This window comes from Homo sapiens, chromosome 12 (genome assembly GCF_000001405.40).
Source record: "Homo sapiens chromosome 12, GRCh38.p14 Primary Assembly".
Classification (NCBI taxonomy): Eukaryota; Metazoa; Chordata; class Mammalia; order Primates; family Hominidae; genus Homo; species Homo sapiens.
Genome location: NC_000012.12, coordinates 121,063,014 through 121,079,201, shown reverse-complemented (window position 1 = coordinate 121,079,201; position 16,188 = coordinate 121,063,014). Strand labels below are relative to the sequence as shown.

Sequence of the window (16,188 nt, the reverse complement as noted above, 5' to 3'; positions counted from 1 at the left end):
AGGATTTTTTGCATCTGTATTCATTAAAGATATTGGTCTGTTGTTTCCTGTTCTTGCAATGTCTTTGTCTGGTTTTGATATCAAGGTATTAACCTTATAGAATGGGTTGTTGGGAAATGACCCCTCCTCTTACATGTTTTAGAAGTTTGTGAAAGATTTAATTCTGTTATAAACTTTTGGTAGAATTCACCAGTGAATCAATCGTGCCCTGAGCTTTTCTTTTCTTTATGGGGATTTTGACTTTTTTTTAAAAAAAATTAATAACTCAATCTATACCTTGCTATAGGTATATTCAGATTTCCTTTTTTTTTTTTTTTTTCAGTTTTGTTGGTTTGTTCCTTTTTTTTTTTTTTTTTTTTTTTTGAGACGGAGTCTTGCTCTGTCGCCCAGGCTGGAGTGCAGTGGCGTGATCTTGGCTCACTGCAAGCTGCGCCTACCGGGTTCATGCCATTCTCCTGCCTTAGCCTCCCGAGTAGCTGGGACTACAGGCGCCTGCCATCATGCCTGGCTAATTTTTTGTATTTTTAGTAGAGACGGGGTTTCACCATATTAGCCAGGATGGTCTCGATCTCCTGACCTCATGATCCACCCACTGCGGCCTCCCAAAGTGCTGGGATTACAGGCGTGAGCCACCGTGCCCGGCCAAGGTTTGTTCCTTTCTAGATATTTCTTCATTTCATCTAGGTTATATCATTTGTTGCCATACAATTGTTCATGGTATTATAATCTTTTTATGTTTTCGTAGGGTTGGTATTAATTTGAGTCTTCTTTTTTTCTAGGTCAGTCTAGCTAAAAGTTTGTTAATTTTTTTGATATTTTCAAAGAAATTTTGGTCATTGATTTTCTCTATTATGTTTATTTTCTCCATTTTATTTATTTTCATTATAATCTCTATTTATTCCTTCGTTCTGCTTTCTTTGGTTTAGCTTGTGCTTCTTTTTTCAGTTTCTTAGGTGGAAGATTAAGTTACCGATTTGAGTTATTTCAAGTTTTCTAATATAGGCATTTCCTATATTAAATGCATTTAATATAGACATTTAATATAGGATATAAATTTCTCTCAATGCACAGCTTTTGTCGTATTCCTTAAGTTTTGATATTTTGCGTTATTGTATCCATCCATCTAAAGTATTTTATGAATTCCTATTATGGTGCCTTTGACCCATAAGCTATATAGAAGTGGTATTGTTTGATTAACCTATATTTGTGAATTTCCTAAATTTCTGCCTATTATTGATTTTATTACACTGTGGCCCAAAAGCATAACTTGTATGATTTTAATCACTTTAAATTTATTGAGATTTGTTTTCTTGCCTATCATATGGTCTATTTTGGGGAGTGTTTGATGTGTGCTTGAGAAAAATGTGTGTCTTGCTATTGCCAGATGGAGCAATCTATAGATGCCCATTAGGTTCCTTAGCTAGTATTGTTCAAGTCTTCTACTTCCTTGTTGAACTTTTCTGCCTAATTTTTTATCTACTATTTAAAGTTAGGTATTGAATTCTCCAAATATTATTATTTTTTCATTATTCTTCAATCTTTTTTCTTTTTTTAAATTTATTTATTTATTTATTTATTTATTTATTTTTATTGATCATTCTTGGGTGTTTCTCGCAGAGGGGGATTTGGCAGGGTCATAGGACAATAGTGGAGGGAAGGTCAGCAGATAAACAAGTGAACAAAGGTCTCTGGTTTTCCTAGGCAGAGGGCCCTGCGGCCTTCCGCAGTGTTTGTGTCCCTGGGTACTTGAGATTAGGGAGTGGTGATGACTCTCAACGAGCATGCTGCCTTCAAGCATCTGTTTAACAAAGCACATCTTGCCCCGCCCTTAATCCATTTAACCCTGAGTGGACACAGCACATGTTTCAGAGAGCACAGGGTTGGGGGAAAGGTCACAGATCAACAGGATAAGAATTTTTCTTAGTACAGAGCAAAACGAAAAGTCTCCCATGTCTACCCCTTTCTACACAGACACAGCAACCATCCAATTTCTCAATCCTCTCCCCACCTTTCCCCGCTTTCTATTCCACAAAACTGCCATTGTCATCATGGCCCGTTCTCAATGAGTTGTTGGGTACACCTCCCAGACGGGGTGGTGGCCGGGCAGAGGGGCTACTCACTTCCCAGTAGGGGCGGCCGGGCAGAGGTGCCCCTCACCTCCCGGACGGGGCGGCTGGCCGGGCGGGAGGCTGACCCCCCCCACCTCCCTCCCAGACGGGGCGGCTGGCCGGGCGGGGGGCTGACCCCCCCACCTCCCTCCCAGACGGGGCGGCTGGCCGGGCGGGGGGCTGACCCCCCCACCTCCTTCCCGGACGGGGCAGCTGGCTGGGCAGAGGGGCTCCTCACTTCCCAGTAGGGGCGGCCGGGCAGAGGCGCCCCTCACCTCCCGGATGGGGTGGCTGGCCGGGCGGGGGGCTGACCCCCCACCTCCCTCCCGGACGGGGTGGCTGGCCGGGTGGGGGGCTGACCCCCCACCTCCCTCACGGATGGGGTGGCTGGCCGGGCAGAGGGGCTCCTCACTTCCCAGTAGGGGCGGCCGGGCAGAGGTGCCCCTCACCTCCCGGACGGGGCGGCTGGCCGGGCGGGGGGCTGACCCCCCCCACTTCCCTCCCGGACGGGGCGGCTGGCCGGGCGGGGGGCTGACCCCCCCCCACCTCCTTCCCGGACGGGGCGGCTGGCTGGGCAGAGGGGCTCCTCACTTCCCAGTAGGGGCGGCCGGGCAGAGGCGCCCCTCACCTCCCGGATGGGGTGGCTGGCCAGGCGGGGGGCTGACCCCCCCCACCTCCCTCCCGGACGGGGTGGCTGGCCGGGCGGGGGGCTGACCCCCCACCTCCCTCCCGGATGGGGTGGCTGGCCGGGCAGAGGGGCTCCTCACTTCCCAGTAGGGGCGGCCGGGCAGAGGCGCCCCTCACCTCCCAGACGGGGTGGCTGGCCGGGTGGGGGGCTGACCCCCCCACCTCCCTCCCGGACGGGGTGGCTGCTGGGCGGAGACCCTTCTCACTTCCCAGACGGGGTGGCTGCCAGGCGGAGGGGCTCCTCACTTCTCAGACGGGGTGGCTGCTGGGCGGAGGGGCTCCTCACTTCTCAGGCGGGCGGTTGCCAGGCGGAGGGTCTCCTCACTTCTCAGACGGGGCGGCCGGGCAGAGACGCTCCTCACCTCCCGGATGGGGTCGCGGCCGGGTAGAGGCGCTCCTCACATCCCAGATGGGGCGGCGGGGCAGAGGCGCTCCCCACATCTCAGACGATGGGCGGCCGGGCAGAGACGCTCCTCACATCCCAGACGGGGCGGCGGGGCAGAGGCGCTCCCCACATCTCAGACGATGGGCGCCCGGGCAGAGACGCTCCTCACTTCCTAGATGGGATGGCGGCCGGGAAGAGGCGCTCCTCACTTCCTAGATGGGATGGCGGCCGGGCAGAGACGCTCCTCACTTTCCAGACGGGGTGGCGGCCGGGCAGAGGCTGCAATCTCGGCACTTTGGGAGGCCAAGGCAGGCGGCTGGGAGGTGGAGGTTGTAGCCAGCCGAGATCACGCCACTGCACTCCAGCCTGGGCACCATTGAGCACTGAGTGAACCAGACTCCGTCTGCAAATCCCGGCACCTCGGGAGGCCGAGGCTGGCGGATCACTCGCGGTTAGGAGCTGGAGACCAGCCCGGCCAACACAGCGAAACCCCGTCTCCACCAAAAAAATACGAAAACCAGTCAGTCGTGGCAGCGCGCGCCTGCAATCGCAGGCACTCGGCAGGCTGAGGCAGGAGAATCAGGCAGGGAGGTTTCAGTGAGCCGAGATGGCGGCAGTACAGTCCAGCTTTGGCTCGGCATCAGGGGGAGACCGTGGAAAGAGAGGGAGAGGGAGGCCGTGGAAAGAGAGGGAGAGGGAGAGGGAGAGGGCAATCTTTTTTCTTTCTGTTCCTCCAAATATTATTGTTGAAGTGTCTACTTCAACTTTCTATTCTGTCAGTTTTCCTTCATGTATTTTGAAGCTCTGTTGTTAAGTGCCAAATGCAATTTTATAATTTATACATTTATAATTTTATAACAATTTTGTAATTATTATACCCTCAAATAATGGACCGTTTGATCCTTATAAAATGTTCTTCTTCATCTCTAGGAATAATTTTGTCCTAAGTCTATTTGATCTAATATTAATAAGGCCATTCTGGCTCTCTTTTGGTTAATACTTGCTTGCTGCATTTCTTCCTATTCTATTACTTTGATCATCTTTGTGTCTTGAATTTAAAGTTTGACTGTTGTAGACAGCATATAGGTAGATCACATTTTTTATCTGTTCTACCACTCTCTGCCAGTTAACTGAAGTGTATAATGAAACTCCATTTGATTTAATTACCAATGGGGATTTAGTAAAATACTAACATGATTGAAATATTCTATTTTGCTATTTTTCTATATGTGGGATGTCTTTTGCTTTTGATATTCCTCCATTACCATCTTATTTTGTGTTAGGTATTTCCTATTGTGCTGATTTAATCCCTATGCCATTTCTTTTGTCATATATATTTTTGGAATTTTTTTAGTAGTTTTAGTAGTTGCCCTGGAGACTACAATTAACATCTTAACTTATAACATTTAAGTATGATTAATTAATTTCAATAGCATATAAACTTTTTTCTCCTATACATGTTCCATGCCCCATTCTGTATGTTGGTATTGTCATACAAAACACGTCTTTATTCATTGTGTGCTCAAGAACATAGATTTATATTTGCTTTACATAGTTGTCCTTCAGAACAGATACAGGAAAAATACATTATTTATACATGTTTACTACATACATTTTATTTATTTATTTATTGAGACAGAGTCTCACTATGTTGCCCAGGATGGAGTGCAGTGTTGCGATCTCGGTTCACTGCAACCTCTGCCTCCCAGGCTCAAGCCATCCTTCCACCTCAGCCTCTCAACATGGTAAAACCATGTTGCCAAGGCTGGTTACGAACCCCTGAGCTCAAGCAATCCACCCACCTTGGCCTCCCAAAGTGCTGGGATTACAGGCATGAGCCACCGTGTCCACCCCATACATTTTATTTATTTAGACATACTGTCTCATTTTTACTTACATAACTTTACCTGTGCTCTTTATTTCTTCATGTGGATTTGAATTACTCTCTTGTCTTCATTTCAGCTGGAAGGACTCTGTTTAGTGTTCTGATGGGGCTAGTCTGACAGCAATGAATTCTCTCAAATGTTGTCTATCTGGGAATGCTTTAATGTCTCCATTTTTTGAAGGACACCACTGCTAGATATAAAATTCTTGGCTGACATTTATTTTTCCTTTCAGAACTTTGAATATGTCATCCCACTGCCTTTTGGCCTCCATGGATTCTTCCTTTCAGCTTTATTGTGGTATAACTAACAAACAGCATTGTTTATATTTTAAATATACAGTTTGTTGATTTGATACACATATGCATTGTGAAATGATTACCACAATCAAGTCCATTAAGACATTCATCACATTATGGTTACTTTTTTGAAATGAGAATTCTTAAGATCTGCTCTCTTAGCAAATTTCAAGTATACAATACAGTATAATTAACTACAGTCACCATGCTATACATTAGATGCTTAGAACTTAAACTGAAAGTTTGTAGTTGTTAATCTTACCAATGATCCTTTATACATGATGATTTATTTCTTGCTTATCGCTCTCATGATTTTTCTTTGCCTTTGGCTTTTGATTAATTTATTAAGATGTGCGTTTATGCTACTTGGAGTTTATTGAACTTCTTGCATATTTTGATTAGTGTTTTTCATAAAATTGGAGAAGTTTTTGGCTATTATAACTTCACATATTCTTGTATCTCCTTTCTCTCACTCATCTCCTTCTGGGACTCTCTTTATGCATACATTGGTATTGCTTGATAGGGTTCCATAGTTCTCTGAGGCTCTTTCCTTTTGTTTTTTTTTAACTTACTATTCATCAGGCTAGATAATCTCAGTTGACCAATCTACAAATTCACTGAATTTTTTGTCTGCTGAAATCTGCTGTTCAGCCCTGTTGTGGGTTGAATCATGTTCTCCAAAATGATATGTTCAAGGCTCTCTTACTTAGTCCCTATAAATGTGGCTTTATTTGGAAATACGGTATTTGCAGATGTAATCAATTAAGATGAGGTCATCTTGTATTAGGGTGGGCCCTAATCCAGTTACTGTTTCTCTTATAAGAGCAGGGAAATTTGAACACAGGCACAGAGGAAAGAAGGTCATGTGATGACACAGGCAGAGATTGGAGTGGTGCAGCTGCAAGCCAAGGAAAGCCAAGGATTTCCAGCAACCACCTGAAGCTAGAAAGAAGCAAAGAAAGATAATTCCCTAGAGCCTTCAAATAGAGCACAGCCCAACTGACACTTTAACTTTGGACTTCTATCCTCCAGCAATGTAAGCAAATAACTTTATGCTGTTTTAAGCCACTGAGATGATTTGTTTTGGCAACCCTAGGAAACAAATACAAACCCCTCCAATAAATTTTTAGTTGTAGTTTTAGTTTTCAATTCCAGAAATTCTATTTAGTTCTCTTTTATGATTTATAACTTTATTACTATTTTCTATTTGATGAAACACAATCGTCATACTATATTTTAATTCTTTATATATAGTTTTATTTAATTCTTTGAATACATTTAAAACAGCTAATATAATCTTTGTCTAGTAAATCCAATGCCTGGACTTCCTCATGGACTTCCTCATGGATGGTATCTATTAGTTGCTTTTTTTCTCTAGTGTATCAATCAGCCTGTGTTGGAGAGGCCCTAGAGCACTGCAGGTTCAGTGATTCTCTAGGATAAACCACTGGACTCAGTATATAGTCATACACCTGGCTGTGATTTCTTATGGTGAAAGCACACCTAGCAAAATAAACAAGAAAAAAGGTGCATGGGGCAAAATCCAGAGGAAACTAGGCACAAGCTTCTAAGAATCCTGTCCAAACAAATCACACAGGCACAGAAAATTTCTCCAACGAGTTGCGACAACATGTATGAAACATTGTCCACCAGGGAGGCTCACTAGGGACTAAGTGCCCACAGTTTTTAACGGGAACTGGTTATTTGGTGTCCTCTTCCTAGCCCATACCTAAATTCCAGTATCCCAGATAGAAAAATATCTTTGGCAAGAACCATAGTGTTTGTGAAAGCATTTTAGGCACAGTGAGCTCCTCTTATCGGAGAATGGGACCCCTGCGCATTTTCTAGATACCCAGGAATGTGTCAGAACTTTTCACAAGCCATATGGTCATCTAACTTCCCAGCTTTTCTTTTAAGCTTTTTAGTTAGTCTATTGTTTGCCCCAACTGTAATCCACCACTTCAAGCAGCCACAAAGTTAAACAATTGCCTCTCATTGTTTTTGATAGTTGTGCCACAGAAAAGGCTTTTTTTTGCCTTGGACAAATTTCAAGTCAGGTCAAATACAGTCTAACAAGGTGGAGTCTTATACAGACTTCAAATATGACTTCAAATAGTGATAATTCTCTGGGAATGAGGCTTTGAGGGAGCTCCAGTCCTATTCTGCTCCCTGCAGTGGCTGGCAGGTTGCTGGTCACGGCAAATGTGGGCCTTAATTTTCTGGGTTACCATGGAACTACAGAGTAGGAAATAGGACTAGAGAAAATTAAACTGCCACAAAACTCACTGCTCTTATTGAGATTCTGCTTGGTTTTTAATCAACACCCTCTGGATTACTGCAAGCTTTTGGCTAATTTCTAGAGGTCTAAAAATATTAGTGGTGATAATTTTTGCCAGTTTTCTCATTGATTTTTTTGGAGGAGAGAATTCTTGGAGGTCTTTCATTTGCTGTTTTCTCTAAAGTTATCTACTGAATCACATTTTTAAAAAGATCCTAGGACCATAATGTATGACTAGTTATCCTTGGAAGTTTGTAATCATCACAATTCAGTGTAAATTGTACCTCAAAACTCCTCTTGTCTGGGCGTGGTGGCTCACACCTGTAATCCCAGCACTTTGGGAGGCCGAGGCAGGTGGATCACCTGAGGTCAGGAGTTCAAAACCAGCCTGACCAAAATGGAGAAATCCCGTTTCTGCTAAAAATGCAAAATTAGCCAGGTGTGGTAGTGCATACCCATAATTCCAGCTACTCTGGAGGCTGAGGCAGGAGAATCGCTTGAACCCAGGAGGTGGAGGATGCGGTGAGCCAAGATTGCTCCATTGCACTCCAGCCTGGGCAACAAGAGCAAAATTCCATCTCAAAAAAACAAAAAACAAAAAAAACTCCTCTTGCAGTGGTGTTCACATGATTGAGTCAAATATATGAAATTAAACCTAAAAATAGAAGAAGTTCTCAATTTAGGGATAATTTCCCTAAAATATTATATTGAATAACATGATCTGGTTAGTCTGGTTCCTCTAGGCAACATCCCACATTCAGTTGAGGTTGTTAGGGGGCCTTTTGCTTAGTTGTGTTCTCCCTCTTTTTTTTTTTTTTTTTTTTAGATGGAGTCTCGCTCTGTTGCCCAGGCTGGAGTGCAGTGGCGCGATCTCAGCTCACTGCAAGCTCCACCTCCCAGGTTCATGCTATTCTCCTGCCTCAGCCTCCCAAGTAGCTGGGACTACAGGTGCGTGCCACCACGCCAGGCTAATTTTTTGTATTTGTAGTAGAGACGGGGTTTCACCATGTTAGCCAGGATGGTCCCGATCTCCTGATGTCATGATCCGCCCACCTCGGCCTCCCAAAGTGCTGGAATTACAGGCGTGAGCCACCACACCCGGCCTTTTCTTTTTCTTTTTGAGACAGGATCACGTTCTGTTGCCCATGCTGGAGTGCAGTGGTGCACTCATGGCTCACTGCAGCCTCAAACTCCTAGGCTCAAGTAATCCTACCCCCTCAGCCTCCTGAGTAGCTGGGACTACAGGTGTGCACTACCAGGCCCAGCTACTCTTTGTATTTTTTGTAGAGATGAGGTTTCACCCTATTGCCCAAGCTGGTCTCGAAACCCTGGGCTCAAGCAATCCACCTGCCTTGGCCTCCCAAAGTGCTGGGATTACAAGTGTGAGCCACCACTCCTGGCACTTGCCTAGTACATCCCAGCTACATGAGAGGCTGAGGTGGGAGGATCACCTGAGCCTGGGAGGTCAAGGCTGCAGTGAGCCGTGATCACACAACCGCACTCAAGCCTGGGTGACAGAGCAAGACCCTGTCTCAAAAAAAGAAAAATATATGTATTCCCCCAAACTGTTCACCCCCTCAGGAGATGCACTGGTGAAAACATAGTGACTTTTTTCCCCTAAAGACTCAGTGAATAGCCAGCCGTTTACATACACAATGATAGATAAATTCGTCTATGAATTCACAAAGATTGGGAGATAACTAAATGCATAGTAATATATAGAGATAAGTGGAAAAATTAACTTTGATAATTATATTGTTAGAGAAATATGATTTTTATTTAATTAAAATATTAAATACTATTTTTTATTTTTAATAAAAAATATATTTTAAAAAGTAAAAAAAATACGATTTTTATTTAATATCAACTAATGCTATCTTTTATCTAATTCCAAACAGTTTGTTTATAGGTTCTAGAAATATTAGATCTCTCAGGAATGGTAGAAATATGACTTTTTAGGGAAATATGACTTTTAGAAATATAACTTTTAGAGAAATATGATTTTTATAACTGAATATCTATTTATGCTGTCTTTTATCTAATTCTGAACAGTTTGCTTATTGCTTCTAGAAATATTAGATCACTTAGGAATGATAGAAATATCTGGTGATGGAATTTCAAGAATGGAACCTCTGGCCGGGCGTGGTGGAGACAGAGTCTCACTCTGCACCGTGCCGGCCAGATTTTGGTATTTCTTATGGGAAACCTGAGTTCCTGCATTAGAGGTATGTTCACACTGGCCTGTTGAATGCTGTCCTCTTAAATGTATTTAAAAATTATCCTCTGTATTTTTCGTATGCGGTTATAAATGTGTTTTGGGGATCTATTTTATTCCTTAATTTATATATTTGATTCTAGCGTCAAGCAGGTTCCCTTTGAATTTTTCCTTTAAAGAACATGTGCTATTTCCTATTACATCCTGTACCCCTCAAACTGCCCAATTAGGTATACTCCTGGGGAAAATATGGCAAAGTTTGTTGTAATGCAGTTTTTTTACCTAATTAAGTAGCTACTAAAATAATTAATTTCAAAAATTTGGAGCAAACCTAGAAAGATGCAGATGTCTTTGTGGCTTTTCACGCAATCAAGTTTACCTATCTTTGCTTTTAATATGTATTTCCTCTTGATGAAATGTTTATTTAGTTTAGTAAACTTGGGATATGTCATTTATATCCATAAATCAACTTTTTAAAAAAGAGATAATAAGAATGTGTATTGTCTATGTGTTCGTGTGTAAAACAAGATCCACTTTTATTTTTTATTATTTATTTTATGATTTGAGTTTATTTTATAAATGAGTTTATGCAGAATCATAGAGGTATCAACTACAGTCAATCACCCAACCTACTTACCTTTCCAAAGGTAAATATACTCAAGTACAATCATTTTTTTCTCATCCAAAGAGTAGCCCATATTGAATAAAGATAGGGACATGAAATGAATCGGTAGACACTATTAACCAAGAATATACAGATTTATTCACACCAAGAAACAAGTAAGTCATATGGATATATATATAAAGATAAATTTAAAAATAATAAGGTGATAATTGTACAAGTTTGCATATAGAGCTGCAGCTCTGAAAAACTGTTTATATTGTTTTGATATATTGTGTGACTTGTTCCCCTAACCCATCACCCGGAGTTGATGCTAAGATACTGTTGGTTCCATGACTCGGAAGCAATCTAAGGTTAGAGGCACTTACATTTGCTAGGAATAAATAAGGCAAGATGATATTTTTCACCACTTTTAGCACAGCAGACTTGTCAGTAGATAAGCGGCTCCACCCAGGACACTGGTATTCATCTCATTCGCACAGCTCATCTGTTGACCATGACTCAAGCAACTGGACCACTCTGGAGGACCATAGTGCCCTTTAAAAAATTTTTTTTTGTATTTTTAGTAGTGACAGGGTTTCCCCATATTAACCAGGCTGGTCTCGAACTCTTGACCTCAGGTGATCCACCTGCCTTGGCATCCCAAAGTGCTGGGATTACAGGCATAAGCCACCGTGCCAGGCCTCCTAATGTGCCCTTTTATGTGGAGTGGCCATTGAGTGTGCACTCAGCCAGACACAGACAGCATTTTTGAAAGCTTTATCTGAGTATTTCAAAATTGAGTATGAATTTGGATAAAGTGGTTGGTTGTAGACCAAGCAGGAAGATGTCATAGAAAGAACAATGGCTTGGGAGTTCGGAATCCCGGGCTTGCATGAATCTTTGAGCTTGTTAAGTCGTGCAATCTAAAGCAAGGCATTTCACTGATAATTAAGCTTCATGAGCATTTGCACTGATAACATTATACACATTGAACAATTCAGAAGTCACCACATACGTATGGCGTGGCTTACTCTCACCTTTCACCGGTTGGAGAAAAAGAGACAGAGATGAATGTGATCAAGTTTATGAGCTCCTAAGTAAAAGAGCCAAGATGGGAACCCAAGCATGTGGCTCCAGCGCCGAGGCTCTGAGCAACGGATGCACCATCATCACTCAGCTGTGGGACCACCAGTCACTGTGCAAAAGAGTTCCATCATCTGTATGTATTGACACGTCTGGAATTATCTGAGCCTATAGAGTTCCTACACACTATCCACAATATATGCTGGTGTCAGTGGGCACATAGCCCAGCACAGGTATTAGTGCATAAATACCACAGGTTTATCATAGTCATTATGTGAAACCCACTTAGAAAGCCCAAATGCTTTCGGACAGCTCGTAGATTTTGAGAGCTCGGGGACACCACTTGGGACAGCCAGTAAAATTCTTTCAGTGCTTGGCCGCTCCTCAGCACCTGTCCCAAACTGATAAATAACGAGAAGACTCTTTTTTCCAAACGGAGTTTGGCTCTTGTTGCCCAGGCTGGAGTGCAATGGCACCACTTCGGCTCACTGCAACCTCCATCTCCCGGGTTCAAGCCATTCTCCTGCCTCAGCCTCCTAAGTAGCTCAGATTACAGGTGCATGCCACCACGCCCAGCTAATTTTTTGTATATTTAGTAGAGAAGGGGTTTCACTGTGTCGGCCAGGCTGGTCTCAAACTCCTGACCTCAGGTGATCCACCTACCTCGGCCTCCCAAAGTGCTGGGATTATAGGCGTCAGCCACCGCGCCCAACCAGTACCTATTTTCTTTGAAACATAACAACTCTCTCATCTTCATCCTAAAATGTTCAAAGCATATTAAAGGGCAAAAACCACAGTATGAAGAGACAGAGCATGCATCAGAGCCAGACTGCAATATACAGAGATTTGATGATTATCAGACTGATAACTATGATTAATATGCTAAAGGCTCTAATGGAAAAAGTGGATGAGATTCAAGAACCAATGGGATGTAAGTAGAGAAGTGAAAACTCTAAGAATCAAAAGGGAATGCTAGAAATAAAAAATGCCGTAACAGAAACGGAGAAGGCCTTTGATGGACCCGTCAGTGGACTGCACGTGGTTGATGAAGAAATCCGTGAACCTGAGAAAATGTCAATAGAACTTCCCAAACTGAAAAGCAAGAGAAAAAAAGACTGAGGAAAACAGAAAAAAATATCAAAAAATGGCGGGACAATTACAAAAGGTATAACATCTTCGTAAAGGGAATTCTAAAAGGAGAAAAATGAAAGAAGCAGAAGAAATATTTTAACTAATAATGGCTGATAACTCACCAAAATTATTGACAGACACCAAGCCATAGATCCAGGAATCTCAGAACACCAAACAGGATAAATACAAAGAAGTCAATATCTCATCATATCATATTCAAATTTTGTAAAATCAAAGATAAAAACTTTGAAAGAAGCCGGGCACAGTGGCTCAGGCCTGTAATCTCAGCGCTTTGGGAGGCCAAGGTGGGCTGATCACTTGAAGTCAGGAGTTCGAGACCAGCCTGGCCAACATGGTGAAACAGTCTCTACTAAAAATACAAAAATTAGCTGGGCGAGGTGATGGGTGCCTGTAGTCCCAGCTACTCAGGAGGCTGAAGCAGGAGAATTGCTTAAACCCAGGAGACAGAGCTTGCAGTGAGCCAAGATCACGCCACTGCACTCCAGCCTGGGCAACAGAGCAAGACTCCATCTCGAAAAAAAAAAGAAAAAGAAAAAAAAAAAACTTTGAAAGAAGCCAAAGGAAAATATACATACTACTCATAGAGGCACTAGTATAAGAATTACACTGGGCAGGGTGCAGTGGTTCACACTTATAATCCCAGCACTTTGGAGGCCAAGGCAGTAGGACTGCTTGAGCTCAGGAGTTTGAGACCAGCCTGGGCAACATAGAGAAACCCCATCTCTACAAAAAATATGAAATATTAGCAAGGCTTGCCAGTGTTTGCCTGTGGTTCCAGCTACTCGGGAGGCTGAGGCAGAAGGCTCACTTGAGCCTGGGAGGTTGAGGCTACAGTAAGTCAAGATTAAGGCACTGTGCTCCAGCTTGGGCACCAGAGTGAAACCCTGTCTCAGGGGAAAAAAAAAAAAAAAGAATTACGTTGAACTTCTTGTCAGGAACCACATAAGAAGGAAGAGAGTGGAGTAAAATACCTAGTGTTGAAAGAAAAAGCCCCCACACCTAGAATTCTGTACCTATCAAAATTATCCTTCAAAAGTGAAAGAGAAATAAAGAACTTTCAGGTAAGCAAAAAATGGTGGGGCATTTTGGAAGAATATAGATTTCCATTTCATAAATGCAGAAAGAATGAGGGAAATGGAGAATTGCATTGAGGCAAAATTCATCAGTAATTTATAGCCAGTAGATCTATCTTGTAAGAAATGTTATTTAAAAAAAAAAACCAAAAAAAAAAAAACTTGTTCAGAGACAAGGAAAATAGGTCAGAAACAACATCACTTTTGAGCTGAAATTTTTATTCACTATTTTATGTCATTTTTCTTTAAAGGGATCTAGAAAATTTTAGAAGCTCCACAAACCCTGGATAGGCTTTTGCAGCCAGCCATGAGCTTATCCCGCCCCTCTCACTCCACCTTATCCACCCACATTTCCAAAAACCCAGTCTTATTTTGTGACCCAGAGTCACAAGCTCCCCAAACGTGCTCAATACGTATGCTCCCAACAAATGGCAAAATCTTATTTTTACCATTAACGAAAAGAAGAAGAAAATCATTCTGGCGTTTTGTTGATGATGGTTGAGATGAGGGCAACTTCGAACTTAGAACCCTGAGTGGAACCGCTTTTTGTTCTTCCTGGGAATACCTGTTGGAAACAAGAATTAAAGAATGTGGTTACAGCCGGACGCGGTGGCTCACACCTGCAATCCCAGTACTTTGGGAGTCCGAGGCAGGCGGATCACCTGAGGTCAGGAGTTCAAGACCAGCCTGGTCAACATGGCGAAACCCTGTCTCTACAAAAAATACAAAAATTAGCCAGGGGCGGTGGCTTGTGCCTGTAATCCCAGCTGCTCAGGAGTCTGGGGCAGGAGAATCATTTGAACCCAGGAGGCAGAGGTTGCAGTGAGCTAAGATCCCACCACCGCACTCCAGCCTGGGCAACGAGAGCGAGACTCTGTCTCAAAAAAAAAAAAAAAAAAAAAAATTAAAAAAAAAAAGAATGTGGTTATTAGAGGCAATTCAGGATTATCCAGGCTTCCCTTGAAGAAACATATGCAAGGCTCTAAAATGGGAGCCAGATGGAAGAAAAAGTTGCAGGCTTACTGGGGAGGTGGGAAACACCCGGATCCCAGTCCCACATGTGACTTGAGAGCTGAGAGGCTGATGACTAGATGCCCTGCTGCCCCAGGGCTCCCTTCTGACTGATATGAAGGCTGGAGATTTTCCCTACACTATCCCTTAGCACCCAGCATGATGCACAAAAAACAGGAATTCAATAAAAAGGTTTGAGATGTGACTCTTGTTTAGGATGTCTTTTGGTCCTCAAGAATCTTCCACAGGAGAAGCCAAGCATGGTGGCATGCACTGTAATCCCAGCTATTCAGGAGGCTGAATGAAGCAGGAAGATCCTTTGAGCCCAGGAATTTGACTCCAGCCTGGGCAACATAGCGAGACGCCCCTCCATCTCTAATAAAAATTTTGAAAAATAAAAAAAAGCATCTTCCACAGCAGAGATTCTTTTTTTTTTTTTTTTTTTTTGAGACGGAGTCTCGCTCTGTCGCCCAGGCCGGACTGCGGACTGCAGTGGCGCAATCTCGGCTCACTGCAAGCTCCGCTTCCCGGGTTCACGCCATTCTCCTGCCTCAGCCTCCCGAGTAGCTGGGACTACAGGCGCCCGCCACCGCGCCCGGCTAATTTTTTGTATTTTTAGTAGAGACGGGGTTTCACCTTGTTAACCAGGATGGTCTCGATCTCCTGACCTCATGATCCACCCGCCTCGGCCTCCCAAAGTGCTGGGATTACAGGCGTGAGCCACCGCGCCCGGCCCAGAGATTCTTTTTTTATTTTTTTGAGACAGAGTCTGACGCCCAGGCTGAAGTGCAGTGGCACGATCTTGGCTCACCGCAACCTCTGCCTCCCCAGTTCAAGCGATTCTCCTGCCTCAGCCTCCCGAGCAGCTTGGATTACAGGCGCCCACCACCACGCCTGACTAATTCTTTTGTATTTTTAGTAGAGATGGGGTTTCACCATATTGGCCAGGCTGGTCTCAAACTCCTGACCTCAAGTGATCCACCCGCCTCAACCTCCCAAAGTGCTGGGATTACAGACATGAGCCATCGTGTCCGGCCCCATAGCAGAGATTCTTAACTTGGGGTCCAGGAAGCCCCTGAAATTGCATGCAAAATATTAGCATTAACATGTTTTTTAGAGGGAGGGCCCCTTGCATTCATCATTTTCTCTGGTGCTCACAAGACTTCAAAATGTTAAGAAACACTGGGGTAAATGAAGAAGCAAGCACCTCCAGGAAGGAGGTCCCGCACCACCATGCACAGAGTGTCTGCAATGCAGAACCAGAGAGGACCTTTGGGATGGTCCACTGTGGTTGAGCCACCATACTCAAAGATGGGGACCCTTGATAGATGCCTTGACGAAGCAAGCAGAAGGTCACCAGGAAGTTCTCTGTCCTCCACCATCTATCCGTTTTATGGACTAAAAAATAGT

General features: G+C 43.6%; 1 long non-coding RNA gene across 2 annotated transcripts in view; it reads left to right on the top strand.

Annotated features, from left to right (window-relative positions):
• LOC105378258 (uncharacterized) overlaps window positions 1–16,188 on the top strand; it is a 33,706-nt gene that overhangs the window by 13,794 nt on the left and 3,724 nt on the right. The window contains exons 2-3 of one of the 2 annotated variants that reach the window (XR_007063492.1): window positions 6,186–6,398; window positions 9,711–9,865. This is a non-coding gene — a long non-coding RNA (uncharacterized LOC105378258). Of the gene's footprint in view, window positions 1–6,185; window positions 6,399–9,710; window positions 10,344–16,188 lie in introns of those variants that run through there. The other variant, XR_945451.4, reaches the window with a different exon arrangement.